The sequence below is a fragment of the Homo sapiens genome, chromosome 6, assembly GCF_000001405.40.
Source record: "Homo sapiens chromosome 6, GRCh38.p14 Primary Assembly".
Taxonomy (NCBI): domain Eukaryota; kingdom Metazoa; phylum Chordata; class Mammalia; order Primates; family Hominidae; genus Homo; species Homo sapiens.
The window spans coordinates 51,765,116-51,787,229 of NC_000006.12; the positions used below are offsets into that span (position 1 = coordinate 51,765,116).

Genomic DNA, 22,114 nt, shown 5'->3' on the forward strand with positions numbered 1-22,114 from the left:
GCGTGCTTCCTCCATTCATCAGTGTGCTCCATCAAAACACCTGCAGCACTCTTTCCTTGCCTCCACATGCAGTCATCAGGAGGACCAGTTGTTCTCTCCATCTCCACTGCCTCTTCCAGAGTCCCAGATACATGATTTCTGGCCTCAACTGGCCTCCTAACTGATATCCCAGCTCTACTGTTATCTCCACAATCCATCATCTACACAGCCAGAGAAGTTTTTTAAACAAAAATCAGATTCCACCATCCTCCTGCATAAAACCCTTCAGTGATTTCCCCTTTGACCTCTTATACCTGAACAAGGTCCTGTATGACTTGGCACTTGCCATATCAGACAATGCTGCCCTCTGCTCACTCTGCGCCAGCTATAGTGACCTTCTTCCTGTTTCCCCCCTACCCCCACCCTAGGCCAGCTGGTTCCCACCCATCCTTCAGGTATAAGCTCAAATTTCTCATCCTCAAAGAGACTTTCCCTGTCCATTCAATCTAAAATGGTACCCTTCACATTTTCTGCCCCAGCTATTTTTGATCATATCACCATATTGACTTCCTTACCAGCATATTTTATAATCTCAACCACGTCATTTATATTTCTGTATTTGTTTGAGTATCGTCTTTCTCTCAACTAAGATCTGAGCTCCCAGAGGGCAGCAATCTCTTCTAATTTGCAATCTCTTCTATATGTCTAGTGCTTACAGTCTGACCTGGCACATAGTAAATATTCCTCAGATATTTGCTTAATAATTGAATGCTGTTTGCTCTGGCTAGAACACCGTTTCCACATATAACCCACTTTGCTTAATTAATGTCCATGCTTCTTTCAGATCCCACCTCTGAAATTATGCTTCAGGGAAGCCTTCTCCAACTTCCCATAAATGCCTCAAGTTGACATATTCATGTTTTCAGAATCCTACATAACCCGCCCCTTCACAGAATTTATCATGTATGTAATTTTACATTTACTATTTGATTAACGTTTGAGTTTTTACTTAATATTATATCTCCAGATCATAGCTCAATGTTTGACAAACATAAGCATTTGTGAAAATCATGTCAAATAAATAATTTTAAATAACCATGAACATAATACCTACTCTACAAAGAAATTCTGTACATAGAGAAAAGCACACCAAAGCATACCTATCAAGATAGCTACCTATCATTTCACCAACAGGGATCCTTGCTGTGCTGTATGTCCTTCCAGGGATTTCCCTATTATGTATATGCATACATATTTTTATTTCTTTATCTACAAAACTAGGCTAGTATGTAAGATTAATTCCCATGTGAATGTGAGCCTCTGCTCTATTTTGTCAACTTGGAATTCACTATTTTCCATCTTTGCCAAATTAAAATTTAAAAATGGTATTCCATTACTGTTTTAATTAATATTCAATTCTAGTAAAGATGACCATTTTTTCTATATGTTTATTAGCAAGATGTATTTTTTTTGTGGCTTACATATTCAAACCCTTTCACAAATATGTTTCTGGTGTATTCATATTTTTATTTTCATTCTTGACATATAAAAAATATTAGTCCTTCATCTGTACTATTGTATGCTGCAAATATTTTCTTTTTTTTTAATTTTGTTATTATTATACTTTAAGTTTTAGGGTACATGTGCACAGGGAGGGATAGCATTAGGAAATATACCTAATGCTAAATGACGAGTTAATGGGTGCAAACATTTTCTAGTTGATCATTTGTCATCACATTTTGTAACTGACATGCAGAAATATTGACCTTGTTATATTGTCAAATCTATTATTTACTGCTGTGGCTATTGTTTTGCTTGTTATGATCAGAGCAGTCTTTACTGCTTTAAATTACATGTTTACTTAAATTTTCTTCAAATAATTTTATGGTTTTAACTTTTTTACATTTTGTTTTCTAATCCACCTATAATTTAGAGTAAAACATAAAGTGGGAATCTAATTTTATATTTTTCTAAAGGATTTACTAATTATTCCAGCCTGTCTTCAACTAAATTCAAATGCTAATTTATTCAAATTCTAAAAATAATGCATGACTGTGTTTATTTCTTGGTATTCTTTTTAGTTTTGGTGCCAACAACAGATTACTCATATTAGAGGCATACATTTAAAAAAAAATGCTAATGTTTGGCTATTTTCTCTTTTTTTTGGCCTTTTATTATATTTAGTTACATTTGATTTATCATATTTTGGTGTCCCTCAGTATGTTCCTCTTATTCTTTTCTTTTATTTTATTATTATTATACTTCAAGTTTTAGGGTACATGTGCACAACGTGCAGGTTTGTTACATATGTATACATGTGCCATGTTGGTATGCTGCACCCATTAACTCGTCATTTAGCTATCCCTCCCCGCTCCCCTCACCCCACAACAGTCCCCAGAGTGTGATGTTCCCCTTCCTGTGTCCATGTGTTCTCATTGTTCAATTCCCACCTATGAGTGAGAACATGCAGTGTTTGGTTTTGTGTCCTTGTGATAGTTTGATGAGAATGATGGTTTCCAGTTTCATCCATGTCCCTACAAAGGACATGAACTCATCATTTTTTATGGCAGCATAGTATTCCATGGTGTATATGTGCCACGTTTTCTTAATCCAGACTATCGTTGTTGGACATTTAGGTTGGTTCCAAGTCTTTGCTATTGTGAATAGTGCCGCAATTAACATATGTGTGCATGTGTCTTTATAGCAGCATGATTTATAATCCTTTGATTATATACCCAGTAATGGGATGGCTGGATCAAATGGTATTTCTAGTTCTAGATCCCCAAGGAATCGCCACACTGACTTCCACAATGGTTGAACTAGTTTACAGTCCCACCAACAGTGTAAAAGTGTTCCTATTTCTCCACATCCTCTCCAGCACCTGTTGTTTCCTGACTTTTTAATGATCGCCATTCTAACTGGTGTGAGATGGTATCTCATTGTGGTTTTGATTTGCATTTCTCTGATGGCCAGTGATGATGAGCATTTTTTCATGTGTTTTTTGGCTGCATAAATGTCTTCTTTTGAGAAGTGTCAGTTCATATGCTTCACCTACTTTTTGAGGGGGTTGTTTTTTTTTTCTTGAAAATTTGTTTGAGTTCATTGTAGATTCTGGATATTAGCCCTTTGTCAGATGAGTAATGTTTGGCTATTTTCAAGTGTTTATTATTCCAAAGAATTTAATGAGTCAGATTCTGATGCATACATTAGACCTGTGATTCAAGTTGTATTAGATTTGACATCTTTAAAATAGTGAACCATCAAATTTTTGTTATGCATCACCATTTATTCTGAACTCTTTTTATGCCATTGAATAGTGTTTTATAGTTTTGTTTTTATAGGTTCTGTAATTTTTCCTAAATTTACTTCTAGATATTTGCAGTTGAAATTTTAAATAAGCTTGTACATTATAATTTAAAAGTTTACTACTTGTATATTAAAAAGATGTTGATGTGCATTTATTGAAGGCAACTGAGAGTTTTTCAGATAATTCTCTAGTTTTATAGGATGAAATATCCATTTTATAAACCACATAAAAAGATAGTTTGGATTATTTTCAATAATTGGATCTAATGTATTTTTCTTGCCTGAATATATTGGCTAAAACTTTAATAATAATATTTAATGATTGTTGTAACAAACGATAATATTTAATGTCGGTTTTTCTCCTAAAATACAAAACTGTTTGAGAGGAATCCTTTAATGTTTATTTTGTATTATTACTTAAACCAGTGCTTCTCAACTAATGGTTATACCATCCAAATAAATAGCATTAATTTAAAAGAAGTATCCTTGTAGTCTTCATTTACTGTTTATTCCAAGAATGTTTGCTGAATTTTATTAAACATATTTCCTTTTTGTGCCAAATTGGTCATGTTCTTAATCTTCACATCTGGTATTAAGGTAAATTATATGAATGGATTATTTCATTTCAAATTATCTTTGTTCACTTGAATGAAACACATTCAAACATAGCTTGCTTTGTTTGTTGCTTTTTTATTTATGATTTTTTACATTCTATTTGGATGTTTTCTCAGTTTTCTTTTTTGAGTTATTTTAGTAGCTATAAACAAGTGTAAAGATTATTTTAGGCCTGTTCCCTTAAATTAACTGGGAATAGATTATATAACATAGGAATTATTTGATATTCAACTGATTGGAAGAACATGGTATAAATTTATGTGAGCCAAATGTATTTTTGGAGATAAATCTTTGATAAATTTATATCTTTCACTATTCCTTGTTCTTTGTTTTATTCTTCTCTAGCCAATTATGATAATTCTAAATTATCGTTAAAAATTCCTTTTTATAAAGTATTTTTCTCAGAAATGTTAAAGTTGCACTATATAGATTTATATTTTTTACATTATAACTCTAAACTATTCTGTACTTACATTTGAACTGTCATTTCTCATTTTATATATTGGGGTTTTCTTGGTATGATTAAAGTTATTAGAGATTAAACCACTACCTCTTTTTAAAAATTTAATCTTACTAATTTTCTACTTTCTATTTCACCAATTTCTGCCTTTTTCTTGCATTGATTGAGTTCATTAGACTTATGGGTTATTTTGTTTCTAATTTCTCATATTGACAGTTAATCTTCTTTGTTTAGAAGAATTTTTTGTTTAGAATAACTGTCAATATGAAAACTGTCAATAAGAAAAGTTTGTTTGCTTATTCAATCATGAAAGTATTTAATGTGATGACATGTTCTATAATATCTCGTACGCTATATTCTCATTATTGTTACTTCCCAGCTATTCTGTTGGTAAAGTTTTGATATTTTCTTGGATATAAAAGTTATTTAGAAGATAATTTATTATACCTTTTTTCTTGTAAGAAATTAAGATTGTTGGTTTATATTTTATTTTAATCTCCATGTTTATTATATTGTGATCACATATTATTATTAAAATTTATTAAGGTAATTATGGATATATATTTTTTAGGGTAAAGGAGTAGTTTGATACATAAATTAAATTGCTTTTATTATATTATTCATGTTCTTCTTGTTTTCTTTACCTTTTTTAACCTAATTAAAAGATTTGGAACTGAAAGAGATAAATACGTGTCTTAGATCGTGATTTTTGTTTCTGTCAATTTCACCTTACATTTCCTAGAGATTTGCTTTATATTTCTATATTGTATTATCTGCTGTAAAACTTTTCTGACTGTTAGTGTTTTGCTATGATTGAAGGCTTTACTAATGTAAATTATAATTATTTAACCAATTTGAAACATTTATTTTGATTTTTACCTGTTTTGTTAATAATTTTGAGGCTCCTTTATTTTGTTTTAGATGTCAATGATTTATTCTTATCCAATATTTAACTTTAAATTTCTCCTAGTTGGTTTTAAGTTTTCCTCTGGTAAAAAAGTTATAATTATATTTTGACTTTTAACCCAATTTTTCTATATAGCATTATTTTTAACAAATATTTTGTTTCTGTAACTGGCAAATTTGTACTTACTTTCTTATTTCTGTTTGTTTTAAATATACCTTTTTTGTTGCTTTTATTCTTTTACCATTTCATTTTCTTTTTTTTTCTATTTTATTATTTATTTTATGGTTTCTTTCATTTTTTTCCCACTGGTGATTTGGAAAGTATATATGCTATTCAAAATTCTAGTAAAACAAATTAACTCATATTTACCTCCTATGGCTATAGTTCCAGATTTTTATCTGATAATTTTGAATGGTGAAGATTCATTTATGTGTCATATTTGCTAAGCTATTATACACAGTTACTCAATCAAACACTAATCTAGGTGTTACTGTGAAGGTATTTTGTCAATGTGGTTAACACAGTTGAGTTTAAGGAGATTAGGCCACCCAATAATGTGGGTGGGCCTCATCAATCAGCCAGAAGACCTTAAAAGCAAAAGTGAGATTTCTTTGGGGAAGAAGAAATTCTGCCTTAAGACGGCAAACCAGTTCTTCCGTACTTTACAACATACTGGCCTGCTTACAGATTTCAAACTCTCCAGCTCCCATAATTGTGTAAATCTATCCCTTGAAATACATCTCTTTATATATAAATGTATGTATATTAATATTTACTATACCTATTGTATAATTTACATACATATAACAGGTAGGATACACACACACACACACACACACACATGCACATAACCTACTGATTATGTATTTTTTGTATAAAGAGAACTCCAACTAATACATTAACTTTTCAAGTGTTATGTCATTTCTTTTACAAGAACAATTATTAGAATTTGTTTTAGGCCAGGCACGGTGGCTCATGCCTGTAATCCCAGGCCTTTGGGAGGCCAAGACGGGTGGATCACCTGAGGTCAGGAGTTCAACACCAGCCTGACTGACATGGTGAAACATCTCTACTAAAAGTACAAAAATTAGCTGGGCATGGTGGTGTGTGCCTGTAATCCCAGCTACTTGGGAGGCTGAGACAGGAAAATCACTTGAACCCAGGAGGTGGAGATCGCAATGAGCCAAGATTGTGCCATTGCAATCCATCCTGGCCAATAGAGTGAGACTGTGTCAAAAAAAAAAAAAGGAATTTGTTTTGTTTTAATAACCATAGTTACACTATAATATTTAAATTATTTCAGTGCTTCTTAGTTATTTATATTATTCTCAAATTTTATTTCTGTTCCCAAATTTTAAGTTTAGTTTAATCTCTTTATTTGAACACTGAATTTTCTTCCATTTTCCACATGAGCGTCTTAGCAGTGTGTCCAATTCTTTGGTCACAATATTTTTTTCCTTAAACATTTATAGATGTGGCATCACGATCTTCCCACATGTGATGGTGTAGAGGTGAATGCTAAGGCTAGAAAGCTTGATGTTCCTTTCCTTTACTTTTTGTTCACTCTATTTTTCTTATACTATGAAGATAATGTAATAAAGCAATCACCATCCTTGATATTAATCTTTTCTAATAAAATGTAACTATTCCCATATTTTCTATGTGTATTTCAGTTATAGTGTTCATTATTCTTTCTGTTGTAGTTATTCTGAGTTCTTACTAAAAAGACATATGACCCATAGATAGCTTTTAATTTTCTGATCTCTATTTCTAGTACTTTATCTTTTGTTATTTTTATTTCCTAGTCTTATCCTCTGTGTTTGGATAGGTCTCCATCAGTTTGTTCTTCATTTTACCTATTCTTTGAGGAAGCAATGACTCTGTTCTTTACTGCCTCCAATGCATTATTAAATTTCACAATATACTTCATATGTTTCATCTCCCTCCTATTTTATTTCTGTCTATATCTTAATGAGGTACCTTTTCAGCTTAGACATAGTATTCTTACCTCATACTTCATCTCTTATCTCATGGAATTCATATATTTTAAGATTTTATGGACAGCAATAATTATGTATTATCTAAAATTTTCTCCTGAAATAAACTGTGTTCCTCTATTACCTTTTGCATGTTTTGTTCTCCTTCTGTTATGTTATAGAGATATTTTTTAAATTCCCTATAATCGCTTATTTTTCTACTTGCTCATCCTTTAATTATAATGTTTAACCTAAAAATCAGTTTCATATTGTAACAAAATCTCAAGCAGAAGCAACCTAAACAACAACCAAGAAAAAGCCCTAAGTTACTCTCATTCCTTACCTCTCATTTCCTGAGGCAATATCAGCTCCAAGATGTGTCCAGGAGTTCTTAGGATAAGCACTGTAAAGATGAACTTTCCCATAAACCCCTGAAAATAAAAGGAGTAACAGTTGGATAGAAAAATCCTTCAGAGGAATGAAAGCCAGGTAAGTAAAAGTCATTCCAGAGGCTGTTGTGCAAAACATGTGATATAGAATCTCTATATGAAGGTCCCATATTATCAAAAGCATTATTTAAATGCTCTATTTTACAATACTAAGATATATCTCACATGGCTATGAAATTTATTCTCTCAAATGCTATAGAAAAAAGAATGCTACACCACATCACAATAATCTAAAAGGTGGGAAAATAGACCACTCTAATGACTAAAGTTGAAGAGGTACTCCTTTCCACTCTTACGTGACTCCAAACCATTTGCAATTCTTTTGGAAGTTAACCAGTTTTGATATTTTTTGTTACACACTAGGTTCTCCAAAAGCATGGTTAACTCTATTTCCTTAGGATAGAGTTTTGGAGCTATTAGCTTTATGTTTAGTGGCTGGACTTAATATTTTGTCTTATAAATATCAAGGGAGAGATTTCTAAGTCCTTTGTTTCAAAATGCAGTTTATTTCAGACTAATAAATTAAAGGCTTAGGAGAAATGTGCTTGATACAGCTCAGTTTTATTTTTTCATGTCTTTCTTCCTATATGTTTTATTGCCATTTTCAATCATAATTCCTCATATTCTAGTGGTTTAAAATGTTTTGACCATGAACCTCACCAGAAAAAGAAAAAACATGTGATTGTGTACTCTCAGCACATATATATTTATTTTATTTAGATAACTCAGATATTTATATTTAGATAAAAAATATACACATATATGAATATACTAATATATATTGGAATAGAAGTTCTAATATTTTATTCCTGCACCCAAATGTATTGTCTGCATATCCCTGGATTGATGCACTGTATTTTATTGCAAGTCATTAATCTAAAAATTTAAAAATTTTACAATTTTCATCAGAAAACATAGAAATAAAAGAAGCAGGAGACCACTAAGGTACAAATAATATGACTTTGGTGTTCATCTGATAAGGACCAAAAAAAAAATAATCCCAATTAATTAGAACTTAACCAACTGTTTATATCAACATCCACATTTTTTCCATATATCAACTATGAAAATGTCAGAAGATAAGAAAACTAAATCAGGATAAATGGATATAAAAAGAACCCCATTTTCAGGACGTGTCCTGAAACCAATCTTTCATAATAGCATTTATATATTTCATAAGACATCATCATCTAAAACCAAAATCCATCTTTTTTCACTATAGGCTAAGTAAGCTAGGCTGAGAAGGATCCTGAAGTAATTTAAAGAGATTTTCAACCAAAGCATTTATAACAAAAAGCAGTTCATGTCCTTAAATTTGAATTATCCAGAAAATTCAATTGACCAGAAAAGCAGATTTCTTGGTCATTTCCAATCATCAAAGGTTTACTGTAAAATGACACCATTTCTTAGTTGTTTCAAGAAGATTACAAATGATTTAATACGATTAAAATTTGTCATCTACTTATGATACTACAAAAATTTGAGCATGCAGTAAAAGAAATACTTCATTCTTTATTTCAATTTAGTATCAAAGAAAATTTCAAAGACACTAGTTTGACCGTACAGCCAGGATCGGGGATCAGAGCAGGCATCTGTGGATAGTCCTAACAGAAAGTTTGTTCCAGTGTTATCACGCTACAGAAAAGAGTGAATACCACAGGCAAAAGAAGATCAAATATTCTTATAATAATCCATCTAGTTTGTCAACTTAGAAAAATTAAAACATTCTTGAACCTCTTGTTATTAGAAAGATAAAATAAATAGCATGCATGGAAAAAACCTTTGGAAACTTAAAGTGCTATCAAAGTGTTATATGACAATAGTTATATATTATGGAACTAAGTTAAGAAACTTCATACTAGCTTAACATTATTGCCTCCACTCTATTGAGTACTGAGATCCAGAGAGGGAGCCATTGACTGCTAATGAATATTAAATTTATATCTCATAGTGTTCAGAAACCTCAGAAATGATGGTCCTTGCTCTTTTTCCACAAGGAAAAATGACTTACTTGAAAACCTCCAACACAGCAATGCATCTAAGGGAGAATCCAAGAAAATTAACAACCAATTTTCTTTAAAAATGTTCATATTTTTTCTTTTAGTTAATTTTTTTCTCACTTATATAATAGTTGAAATAAGTTCACTATATTTTATTATTCTTTTAGATATTGTATTGTCACATAGCTTAAATATGATAACATATTTATTATTCTTTTAGCTATTGTATTGTCACACAGCTTAAATATAATAACATATTTTTAAATATAATAACATTTAAGCTGTGTGACAATACAATAGCTAAAAGAGTAATAAAGTATAGTGAACTTATTTCAACTATTATATAAGTAAGGGAAAAATAACCAAAAAAATGAACATTCTTGAAGAAAATTGCTTCATGCCAAGAGTTATCCCTCTTTACTTATAAAATTAGTAATGCCCATATAGAAAAAGTGAGAAAATACTTTAAATCTGATGAACATTCTCTTATGCCTCAAAACTGAGTTAGTTGGGGATACATACATATGGTTATACAAGGCCAGTCCCCGTTTCTGTACTTTTACATAGACCAATTTAAAATAGCATTTGGTATTGTGGCAATAGCAAATAAAGAAATTGTCAACAGTGAATGTTCCTTATTAATTTATAGATCTATCAGTTGTATAAATGTATCAATAATCGAGTAGTATTTATAGTTGATAATATTGACTCAGTCGAAACTTTAGTGTCTGACTAATCTGGATCTTAATCCATAATGCTGACACTATAAAGCTGTGTGGTTTTCTGCATGTCGTTCATCATCTCTGAGTCTTAGTTTTGACATCTCTAAAATGGACACTACTCACAAGAGAGCTGGTAAGTGAAATAATAAATATAAATTGCCTAAAAGGGTGTTTGGAATTTAGCATATGTTCTATGAATAGTATTTCTCTATCAGACACAAGCACACAATACACACACATGCATTTTATTTTTAATAAAAACTATATTATACTCTTACCAATTGTTCCTGGGTCAATATGAATTCCATTCATACGGTCACAAAAGACTCCCTCTGAGGCTCTAAGGAGAATCAGAAGCTTTTGTTCCTTTTCTAAGGGATTTTCTAAAGTACCTGTTTACAAAGAAAAGTATATCATTCAAATCAATTTGAAATTAAAAGAAAGAGAGGGAGAAATTGCAGTATAATTTCAATAATGCAATGTAGATACTGTGAAGTAGACTATATGGAGGAGTCAATGGTCATGCAGATGAAATAAGAGTAGGATAAAAAAGATTCAGTAAACTTCTTTGAAGGAGACTCATGTATTATTCACCAGGTATTCACTCTTCTTTCTTTATTAGGGCAGTGTAAACTTTCCTGACCTACTAATATTTATCCTGGTCATATGACTTGCTTTGACCAATGAAATTTGTGTGAAAGTGGTAGGAATATTAGTTTTCAGTTGATGCTTTAAGGGACTTGGCAAGTTGTTTTGTTTTGTTTTATTTCATTTTTTACCAGATCTCTTTCAATGTTGTTCTCTACCATGAATACAGAATTTCTTAAATAGCCTGTGGTATCTGAATGAAGAGATATGCAGAGCAAACCTGAATAGAATGCACAAGCTGGAGCCAAGTTCAACTAAGTCTAACACAAATATTTCTTGATGTAAACCACTGAGATTTGGGGATTGTTACACACCATTATTATGGCAAAACCTGCCTGATACACTGTCTATGGCTAGATAACCTTCAAATCTCTTTATATGCATTTTAGCATTTACTCCTCACAACAAACCTGAGAAGTCAGTATAATTATTATCCCAGTTTTAAATATTTGCACATAAAGAGGCTTACAGGTTAAGGGACTTGTCTAAATTGATCCAACTATTAAGTAACAGAATCTATTTGAACACAGATCTGTTTATGCTAAGTGTTTATTTAACAGATAAGAGGTTATTTTCTAAAACTAAATTCTTTTAGCAGCATAAAGACTCATAAAGACATAAGGCTATGATACTCAGACAGCAGTTGGAATTCTTTCTGACCTAATTTTATTGATGTTAACAGTGGAGTTTGGTATGAAAATTCATACTTCTATGGTATGAGAATTGTTCAGGGAATTTGTCAAATTAGCGTTAGTGAGTATGGACCTGAGGAAGGTTAGTTTCAATGGAACATATGTCTTAGAGTACAAAAATACTAAAGTTATTAAAGTCAGTTGTTTGAGAAGTAACTGGTGGGAAGGTAATCCCAAAATTATATTCCAAATCAGACAGGTTAATAAAAACCACCGGCTATCAAATGCGACTTCCCAGTATATAAATTCCCGAAAAGATAACCAAAAATGACATTGCTAAATACAATGTGAAATAACTAGTAAACTTACAATTGCCTGGTTTTCATCTTGGTTGCTGGTCTTTTGAGCAACATAAAATCATCCCCCCTTGCTGACACTTCCTATATACCTGGATAGCCAAAAGGCACAAGGTAAGTCTAAAGCTTGCTACATACCTATTTTTATAGTTCAGCCTTCACAGCCATTACTCTAGTACTCTGCTGAAAGCAAGCAAGATTCAGACAGGTAAGTAAATCTGCCTAGAGGCATATAGTAGGTCAATGGGTGAGCAAGCCTATGTATTTCCAATAATATGCAAAGGTGTGTTGCTCCTCTGTGTAGGTAATGCCACTCCTCAGCTGAGAGCCTGATGCATCATCTTAGTGAAAATAAAGATGTGCTAGAGCAGAAAGAAGGGAAGCAGGGGAGGATGAAAATGTTTAGTAAATGTGTATGGCGTAGCTGTTATCTTGCCATTACAAGTCTGTCCAGTAAGCTGTTTTCCAACTGTGATTTCATTTATTTCACGGAGGGTAGTTTAGAGTCTTTGGGAAAAAAAAAAAAAAAAAAAAAAAAAAAAAAAAAAGTGGCCTAGCACTAAAGAGATACCAGAGAGAAAAAAGTAGGACAGTTTTTGCCCTAGAGAAATGTATGCAGAGTCCCACAAAAAGAGTTCAGCGTTCCTCTAAAATTAGAGATTAAATCAATTATGCAACCCAACACTGCAGCACATGTGGAGCTTTCGCAGAAAGTCTGGGCAAAATTAGTTAGCCTGCCGTGATATTTTGCTATCTGCAATGGCCAGAATTTGGCTTCCTTTTTGTAACTGAGAGAAAACGAAAGATGAAGAATAGGGACTAAGTACAAAGAAGGCAAAGGTGACCTAAGAGAAGGAAATACATGCTATTGCAACATAAAAATGAAATGCTTCTTGAATGTGTAAAAGCTGATAAATGGAAAGCTTTAAAGGCTGAGATCCTCATTTTCTTCTCAATCTAGCAATCAAAGAAAGGTGAGGTGCTCTCTCCAGCGTGGACTTTGCCCCTAAATGAGGGTAGCCACCTCTGAGACAGAAGATGCTCAGGATACGCAGCTCATCCTTGGTTTACCTTTGTAAAGCTTCTCTAAACTATACTAAGAGGCATATTAAACCTGGGCAAATTTATGTATTCATAATGGGAGGAAAAATAATTGTCATTGTGCTGCAAAGACATTCCGGATATTTTCACATGCACAATTTAATTCTCACAATTTTATGATGAATACAGTTGAGGTTCTGATGAGGAAACTGAGGCAAAGAGAGGTTAAGTAGCTTGTCAGGAATCACACAGCTGTTAAATGGCGAAGTTGGGCCTTAGACTTAATAAGTACCATCCTAGGACGTGTGGATATGGAGGAATAGAAAAGAAGTAAAGGGAAGCAGGCATTACTTAGTATGATGGTGGGCAGTGAAGGGGAAACAATGTGTTCCAGATGCTAAAATCACCTGGAGAGATGGTAGAAAATGAGTTCTGGCATATGAAAGATAATCATTATAATTATTTGGGGAATATGGTACAAATGGGTTCCAGGAACTTCAAAAGGTAAGAATAAGAAAAAAAGGCATTTCATTATTTTATTAACTAAAGCTCTTTGATGGAATCAAGTATAATCCTAGTTTGCACTTAAGCCCACTCTGTCAACATGACTCACCAGACCTTGTACCAAGCCAACCCGTAAGAAATTATTTACCCTTCCTTCAACTCACTCTCCTCTGTGCTCATGAGATTTCCCAGCATTTATGTTTTACCTTCATCTTAACTAACTCTGATTCATCCCTCAAAACTTGGCTCCACCGTAATTTATTCCTAAAAGCCTTCTATGATCTTGAATTAGATGTCCCCTTTTGTGTGTAAAATCTTCTGTACCCCTTGCTAAAGTAATTCTACTTCAAGAAACTTGTCCTCAAGAACTAGTAGGGGACAAGGACAAAGAATAATGCTCAAAGTTCTCCACTGCAGTGTTATTTATTTATAATTGGCAACATTTAAAAACACCTTGAAATAGCAAACAATTAGAAATATTTTTGTCCATTTTAAACTCCTTCCTTTCTTCCCAGACTTTTTGACACACTTAATAGCTGAAACATACAAGTCCCCAAGCAACCATATACTCCCTTGCCTCTGCCCCCCTCTGCCTTCATTCCTGTTTTTGTCACGGCCAACTCTTACATACTTTCAAACCCAGTTCAGATGCCACCTCTTCTGGAAATGCCCTTGTCAACTAAGTCTGGGTTAAGTGACCTTCTAAGGGCTATCACAGAATGCCATGTTTTGCTACAATACTTCTAAAACTATACTGTAAGGGCCATTTACCTGATTGCCTCCTTCTCTCAGTGAGCGCAAGAAGAAACTATGTATTCCCAGCAGAGTTTATTTGAAGATATTTTATTCCAGAAATGTTTAACTTGGTAATTTTTACCAACCCTCCTGGAGAAAACAATTGGAATAAAGAAAAATACCCCCTAGTAATAAAAGACTAATTTCACCAGTAAATTACAACTTTTAAGCATTTATGTACCTACCATTATAGCTTAAAAATATATACTGCAAAAATCAACAGAACTACAAGGACAAATGGATATACCTATAATACTTGTAGTAAAGCCAACACAACTGTTGCTAAAAAAAAAAATACAATAATGATACAGCAGTTTTGAATAATGCAATTTGCATATTTGACATAACAGGCATAGATGGAAAACTAGACCCACAAAGAATGCGCATTCTTTTAAACCTTGCACAAGACATTTAAAAAAACTGATCATATGATGATGATAAAGCAGTTTAACAAATTTTTAAAAATTGGAATTATACAGCATTTGTTTTCTGACTATAGTTCCATCAAAATTTACAATTCATAATAAAAAAATTTCAAAAGTGAGCTATATTAAAGATCTTTCCAATTATCAAAGAATACCATTAAGAAAGTAAAAAAGCAGCCAGATGTGGTGGCTCATTCCTGTAATCCCAGCACTCTGGGAGGCCGAGGCAGGCAGATCACAAGGTCAAGAGATCTAGACCATTCTGGCCAACATGGTGAAACCTTGTCTCTACTAAAAATACAAAAATTAGCTTGGCGTGGTGCGACGCACCTGTAGTCTCAGCTACTCAAGAGGCTGAGGCAGGAGAATAGCTTGAATCCCAGTTGCGGAGGTTGCAGTGAGCCGAGATCGCACCACACTGCACTCCAGCCTGGTGACAGAGAAAGACTCCATCTCAAAGAAAAAAAAAAAAGAAAGTAAAAAAGCAAGCCACAGAGTGGGAAAAGACATTTGTACTACTTATAACCAACACAAGATACATTCCAAAATATATAAATGACTTTGATAAATCAATATAAAACAGGTACATTCATCATTAAAAAAGAGTAAGAGAACAGCTATTTCACAAAACAAGATACTCTCAAATAAATAATAAATACATTCTACTATGCTCAATCATATCATAAAAAAGAAATAAAAATTAAAACAAGAATGAGATCTCACTACATATCCAGTAGACTGGATTTATAATGTTTAATTAAGCATATATTTTTCATTTTATAAAATTTGTTGTATATGTGTGTCATTTTCCACAATTAATAAAAATATGTTAAATGACTATGTTCCGAGAATACTCTTCAATGAGTTTTGTTGATCAAAAGAGGGGAAACTGGCCAAAATTTTAGTCACATCTTCTGAATATACTATTTTCCAGGTGCTAGTCACTGAATCCAAAGCAACAAATTGTATTTTTATATAATTTGTATTTTTATCTGAGTTAATCTTAAAACTCTATAAATATCACGACTGCACATGAAAGATAAAGAAATTACCCCCAAAATAAATTTCGTACATTTTTCCCTTGTCCTCAGAAGTGGGTTAAATGGTGTTTACTTTGGAAGTTGAGCTTCTACCCAAAGCATAACCATTTTTCTCATGCCCTGCAATAGCAATTTTCTGAAGACCAGAGCCTCTAGAACCTTCTTACTATCATATAAACCCAAGCTGGTAAATAGCACTCAACCAAGTAAATTGCAGCACATATTTTTTTCTGAATTAGCTTTTAATTCCCAGTGTATATTTGACTCGCTTATTCCTAAAACATTCCTCTCCAGTAGAACTGATTCCATCTGAAAATAAATGTAGGGTAGAATGGGGCTTGCAGTCCAGTAAGATAAAAATTGGTTATAAAAATCAGTAGGCATTATCAAATTATAATGTCCAACCCCTCATAAAGTGATTTTATTCAGGCTAACAAATTTTCATTTTTAATGAGGCCTCTCAATTTTTCAATTAATGGAATATTAAAATAAACATGAAAATATGTTATTCATTCACTACTTGCAAAATGTACAAAAATTCTGAAAACTTCCTCCATAAGGTCGAGCAAATTACCTCATTTCTTTAAGCCTCAGCTTCCTCAATGATAAAATAGGCACAATAATAGCATCCATTTTTTGTGAGGTTAAATGATTTAGTCCATGCTAATAGTATATGGCACAGTGTCTGTACATAATACATGTTTTTAAAAAATGTTGGCTCTTAGCAATATTAATAATAGTAGTTAAAAAAACAGTAATAGTAACCATGGAGGTATCACACTTATTTAAAATTAACCTTTAAATTTGAAAACTTAAAAAAATAAGGCAAGCTCTTCCTAGCAAGTAATATCTAATTCCTAAAGTACTAGCTAGACACTAGACATTTCAAAGCAAAAATATTAAGTGACTACTTATTTCAATGGCCAGCCCAAGGAACTTCAGAAAACACAAAGTTTACCTTAAACTGAAACATTCCTGTAAGTTTTCTAACTAAAAAAAAAAATCATTCATTCATTTATTCACTAGCTTTCCTAAAATTATTTTGTTTGTATGCAAAATTAAATAGTTTATAATAAATTTATATGATTAATTATTTTAATAACTAAATAAATCCTTAAGAAATATTATATTACTGTTATATGGATTCATGAATCAAAAGTACAGTTTAAGAAAGACTGATTTAAAAATTATTAAAATAGGAAAGATGATTACTGCAAATGCCTTTAGTAAAGACTAACTGATGTCCCAATAGGACAGAAGAATATTTATTTGTATTAGTGTTTGGCTTAAAAAATATATTAAAACTACACACACACATATAGATTTAAGGATAATGTGATGTTGTGAGAGAACTAATATCCATCAGAAAATAAACAGATCTTTCTATTCTTAATATCATTTTGAAATAAGTATTATTTAACTGTTGGCTGCCAGCCTTATTAGGGACTCTCCAAGCACAGAAATGAGTTTTAGTGTTTCCTGAACCTCTAAGGGGCAAAGGTTTTACACTTTTGCTCCTGGTTAAATGGAGCAAATGGTTAAATGGTTAAATAAGTAACAGCTTCAAAAGTCACATCCCTTTTATGTCACCTTTTTATTTTATCAAACAACCGTTAGTTTGATTAGGGAACTGTGCATCTAAATAAACTGAACTAACCATCTATTTTGCAGGTATCTATGTACACTTATATTATACACATTGCATATGTGGGTATTTGTGTCATTTTCTAATCATAGTTAAATCTGAAGGAGGACATACTTTTTTAACTTTGTATATTTTTTTAAATGAACATCACATACAAGATTCTCTCTGGCTGCTCAATGGGTCTGACTACTGGGTATTGTGGCTTTAAGCTGGAGGATATGTTTTAATCTACGCTTTTCTCAGGTTTGTCTCCTTCTTATTACTTAATCATCCAATGAGCCTTACAGAACTGTCAGTTTGAAAGGCAATAAACTGTGTATGGATTTTTCTTCTTCTTTAGGATTGAGAAAGTCCCAATCATGGAAGCAATGAAAGAAACTTCCATATACCTAGTACTTCGTTTCCTGACAATCAAAGGCACGTGCTAATGATGACCTTAGGCTTCTGGCTACAAATGTGAGACAGGGCTGACAAATACCCATCACTGACCCTGAAAAACAATATGTGACAAGTTTTAGGATAAAAGCCCGAGTGCCTAGGATAATTACTGAGCAACTAGACAGTGCATCATGTGACCTGGTTGTGACAGGCCAAAGAAACAATGAACTGCTGTGTCCCCAGGGATACCAATGGTTGGGGCATATCTTGTTGACTAGGGATCAAGGAGGTTTCTATTAAACTTTAAATATCCATTAGGATATGTGTTTCAAAAATGTATTTTTACAATACAAATAAATTTTATAAAATTATATAAATTTATTATTTTATAATATTTAAATACTATATTTATTTTATATTATTTTAATAATTAATACAAATGTATTATTGGTAACCCCTATCTGAAGTCCTTCTAAAAATATTAAAAGAAGATTTTTCATTTGCAGTTTTAAAAGTACAATATTAAAACAGTCTTTATTGAGTTGACTGTTTGGGTCAATAACAAGTTAACAGCATTGATATCTAAAACAACAAGGAACATATTTGTTAAAGCATGAGAACAATGTCTCATATAAGAGGAGACATTGATGAAAGGGATGGGCTCAGACAGCTATTCATGGGCAAAGCTTTTATATGTTTAAAAAAACATTTAAATCAAATAACAAACAAATGTTTATTGAACAAGCTTTGAGTGGGGGACATTTTTAAGTCAGTTTCCTGTTCTAACAGATTGTAAAAATGAAAATACTTTGAATCCTACAACACATCAACTTTTTAAATTTGTTTTTGTAACTCCTTTTTTCCTTTCACATAGGGGATAAATATATTGTAGTCATTTAAACATTAACACCATAATTTCTTCCTCACAGATGTAGACATTTAAGTGTAAGGAGATTGAATGTTTTCCAAGAAAAAGGCAGTGAGCTGAAAGACAAACCTAAACATGCCCATTCACTTATATATACATTGTCAGTCATAACAGCATATTATCAGAATTCTATAATGCAGTAGGTACTAGGGTTATAAAATGTTCTGATTAAGTCTATCATATAATGGAGATAGGACACTAATTAAAACATGCTATTCATATCATTACCGAATGCAGTAATGGCAACATGAATGAGTAGCACGGATCAGAAGGAAAGGTAACTGAAATCTACTGCATGGAGACAGGAGAGGCTTCATATAGGTTGGTGCAAAAGTAATTGTGGTTTTTGCCATTAAATAATAAAGGTAGTCCTTGGGCAAAGGCTTGAAGGATGATATTTAAGATAGCTAAAACAGCCATTTGTCCTGGTCCTGTTTTTTGTCAGCTCTGAGACCTTGAAACAAATCAATTATCTCTCTGGATTTCAGTTTCCTTACCAATAAAACGAGACAGACGTTTCAAACAATCACAGAGATTTGCAACATCACAGTTATGAATCTTCTATTGGGGAATTTTCCAGAAATTGTACAATGAGTTACTAAACTAAAATCACAATTCATGTCTCTGGAATTTCCATATTTATGAAGCTAATTTCTGTCTTGTTAAAGCCATACTCAAGAGACTATCAATAAGTAGCAATTCTCAGCATAATTTGGACTCATTTAGAAAGCAACACTGTATATCTCAAAATCTAGCCCATGAAACTCATGACGTTCACTATAAACTCACTACTATTCACTATTCTTTAGCTACAGGGGCTGCCTTTCTGCCTCACGACTACCACACAAAGCACATTTCTCCCTCGGGACCTTTGCACTAGCTCTCCCTCAGCCTGAAATGCTATTGTTCAAGTCTTCGCAGGTCTAGCTTTTTCTTGTCTCTATAGTCTGATGTCACATTGACTTGTTAGAAAGGTCTTTACTATCTAACATATGGTTGCCAGCATCCAACCTGGACCTCTCATTAATTACTTTTCCTATTTAATTTCTTTCAGAGAATGTATTACCATCTAAACTTATCTTCCTCATTTATTTTACTATTTAATTGTCTGTTTCCCCCAATAAAATAATGCAAGCAGGAATTGTTCACTACTGAATGTCTTGTTCACTGTGGAATATTCAAATGACAGAAAGAATGCCTGAAACTGAGTTGGCATTCAATGAAAGAGGGAGGTGGGAGGAGGTAAAGGAGGAAGGGACAAATCTACAAAGGAAACTTTGGAAAATCACCATATCAGAGGAATTATTTTCTCCTTAGTATCGATCTATTCATTTCATTTCACCATCCAAAAGAAAACCAGTTATTCATGAAAGCAATCCTATAAAGGTTTGATGCCATGACTCAATATGGACAACTATTCATTTTCAACCATGAAATTCAATATGTTCAATGACACCTCAGGCTATATACTAAAGCCAAAAAATGAAGTTGTTAAAGAATAGATAAATGGTATTGAGTTTATGAAAAGTTATTGCTCCTGAAGCAGTAAGTGTTGCATTTTTATTTGTTTTACATGAAAAGTAATAATTTGTGTCAAAACTGTATTTATCAGCCATTATAAAAAACAAAAAGCTGGAATAAGATGGCCAATTTTCTTTTCTATTTTCTTTGCCATTTCCACTGTATCTCATATTACTGACTACTTCCTCTTGTAAATTGCCTCTTTTGTTTCAAGATATTATTTTCCTGTCATTTCATTTTCTTTCCACCTATATAACTGTTTCTTTTTCATTCTTTTCCTGAACTCAGCTTCCTCTACCACCCTTCAAAGACTTGCGCTCCTCAAAATTTCTATCCACAAAATCTGTTTGGCCAGTTTTATTCACACTTTTAATTTCACATTTGAGCTGATGATCCTCAAATATGTACATTTAGCGCAGACCTCTCTCACTGGTTTCTTTATTCATAAATCTGCTTGTTCTCTAGATATTATCACTTAGATCTTTCACTGAAATCTAACTTTGAAATTTATGAGTCTGGGTACTTAACAAACCAATGTATAAAGTTTACTGTATACTCAACATTGTTCAAGCATTTTAATAAACATTAACTAATTTACTTTTTTAAAAACTCTATGAAATACGTACTATTATTATTTCTACTTTGGAGATAAGAGTACTGAGACACAGCTAGTTCATATAACTTGCCGAGGGCCATTCAACTAATGAGGGATGGAAAGGGCACTCATTCCTGGCATCCCCATTGGCCCAGATCTCCCAACCCGAAACCCTGGATATATCCCAAATAACTCTTCCTTGCCTCAGATCAAAATTCTCACTAGGTTCTAGTGATTTTTACCTCCTCAATGCTTCTCTAATTAATTCTTTACTCTTTAACTCCTGTACCTTACTTCACTCCCTGACGATTTCTTTCCTGAAACATCTCAGTAGGCTTCTCACTTTTCACTGTGTCCCTTTTAAGTGCATTCTCTACACTTCCAGCACTAATTTTTCTAAGAATAAATATAATCATGTCACTTCCTTGCTTAAAACTATCCAGTGACTACCCACTGCCTTCATAGGAAAATCCAAACTCCTTGGCATAGTATATCAGGTCAAGGTGCTTCATCTACTACCACCATTTCATACAAAGCCTACAATCCAGACATACCCATCCCCTACAGTTTCCTAAAAGTATAATGCTCATCTAAAATATGTACCTGTTCACATCTCTTCCTTTATCTTTAAGCTCCCTCTAGGTTGGAAGACATGATCCTTCCAATCATGTTTTTACTCATTTGTCACACTATTTTATTGAGACACCTCTTGAAAGTTCAGGTTCATGATTTCTGTTTCTATATGCCCAGTATCCCCCATGGTACTTGGCACATGGCAGACGCTGAGTAAACCCATGTTAAATGAAAGAATGGACACACATGTGAAATTCTTTAAGCTTATCTTAACTGTTTTATCAGACTAATGAGACAAGCACTGAACGAAGAATGAAATTGAGTTTGGCATTTGTGATGCAGCTATGGCCCTCTAAGCAAAGCTTTGATCTTGAGCTTCCTTTCTAATTCTAGCATTCTATGATTCAACTCTATTAAAAGTCCATTGATACCCTTGCCAGCACCAGTTGCCTTACAAGCAGGACCACCGGCTGGGCATGGTGGCTCATGCCTATAATCCCAGCACTTTGGGAGGCCAAGGCAGGCGGATCACGAGTTCAGGAGTTCAAGACCAGCCTGGCCAACATGGTGAAACCCTGTCTCTAATAAAACTACAAAAATTAGCCAGGCATGGTGGCGA

General features: G+C 32.9%; 1 protein-coding gene across 22 annotated transcripts in view; it reads right to left on the reverse strand.

The window, feature by feature from the left end:
- Positions 1 to 22,114, reverse strand: part of PKHD1 (PKHD1 ciliary IPT domain containing fibrocystin/polyductin) — a 472,317-nt gene that overhangs the window by 149,817 nt on the left and 300,386 nt on the right. For all 22 annotated transcript variants that reach the window (XR_001743469.2, XM_017010944.3, XM_017010945.3 and 19 more), the window contains 2 exons: positions 10,693 to 10,806; positions 7,587 to 7,674 (listed from right to left, as the gene is read on the reverse strand). Coding sequence is in view for 21 of the 22 variants with exons in the window: in XM_017010944.3 (XP_016866433.1) it covers positions 7,587 to 7,674; positions 10,693 to 10,806 (202 nt within the window). In the remaining variant the exon portion in view is untranslated. The remainder of the gene's footprint in view (positions 1 to 7,586; positions 7,675 to 10,692; positions 10,807 to 22,114) is intronic.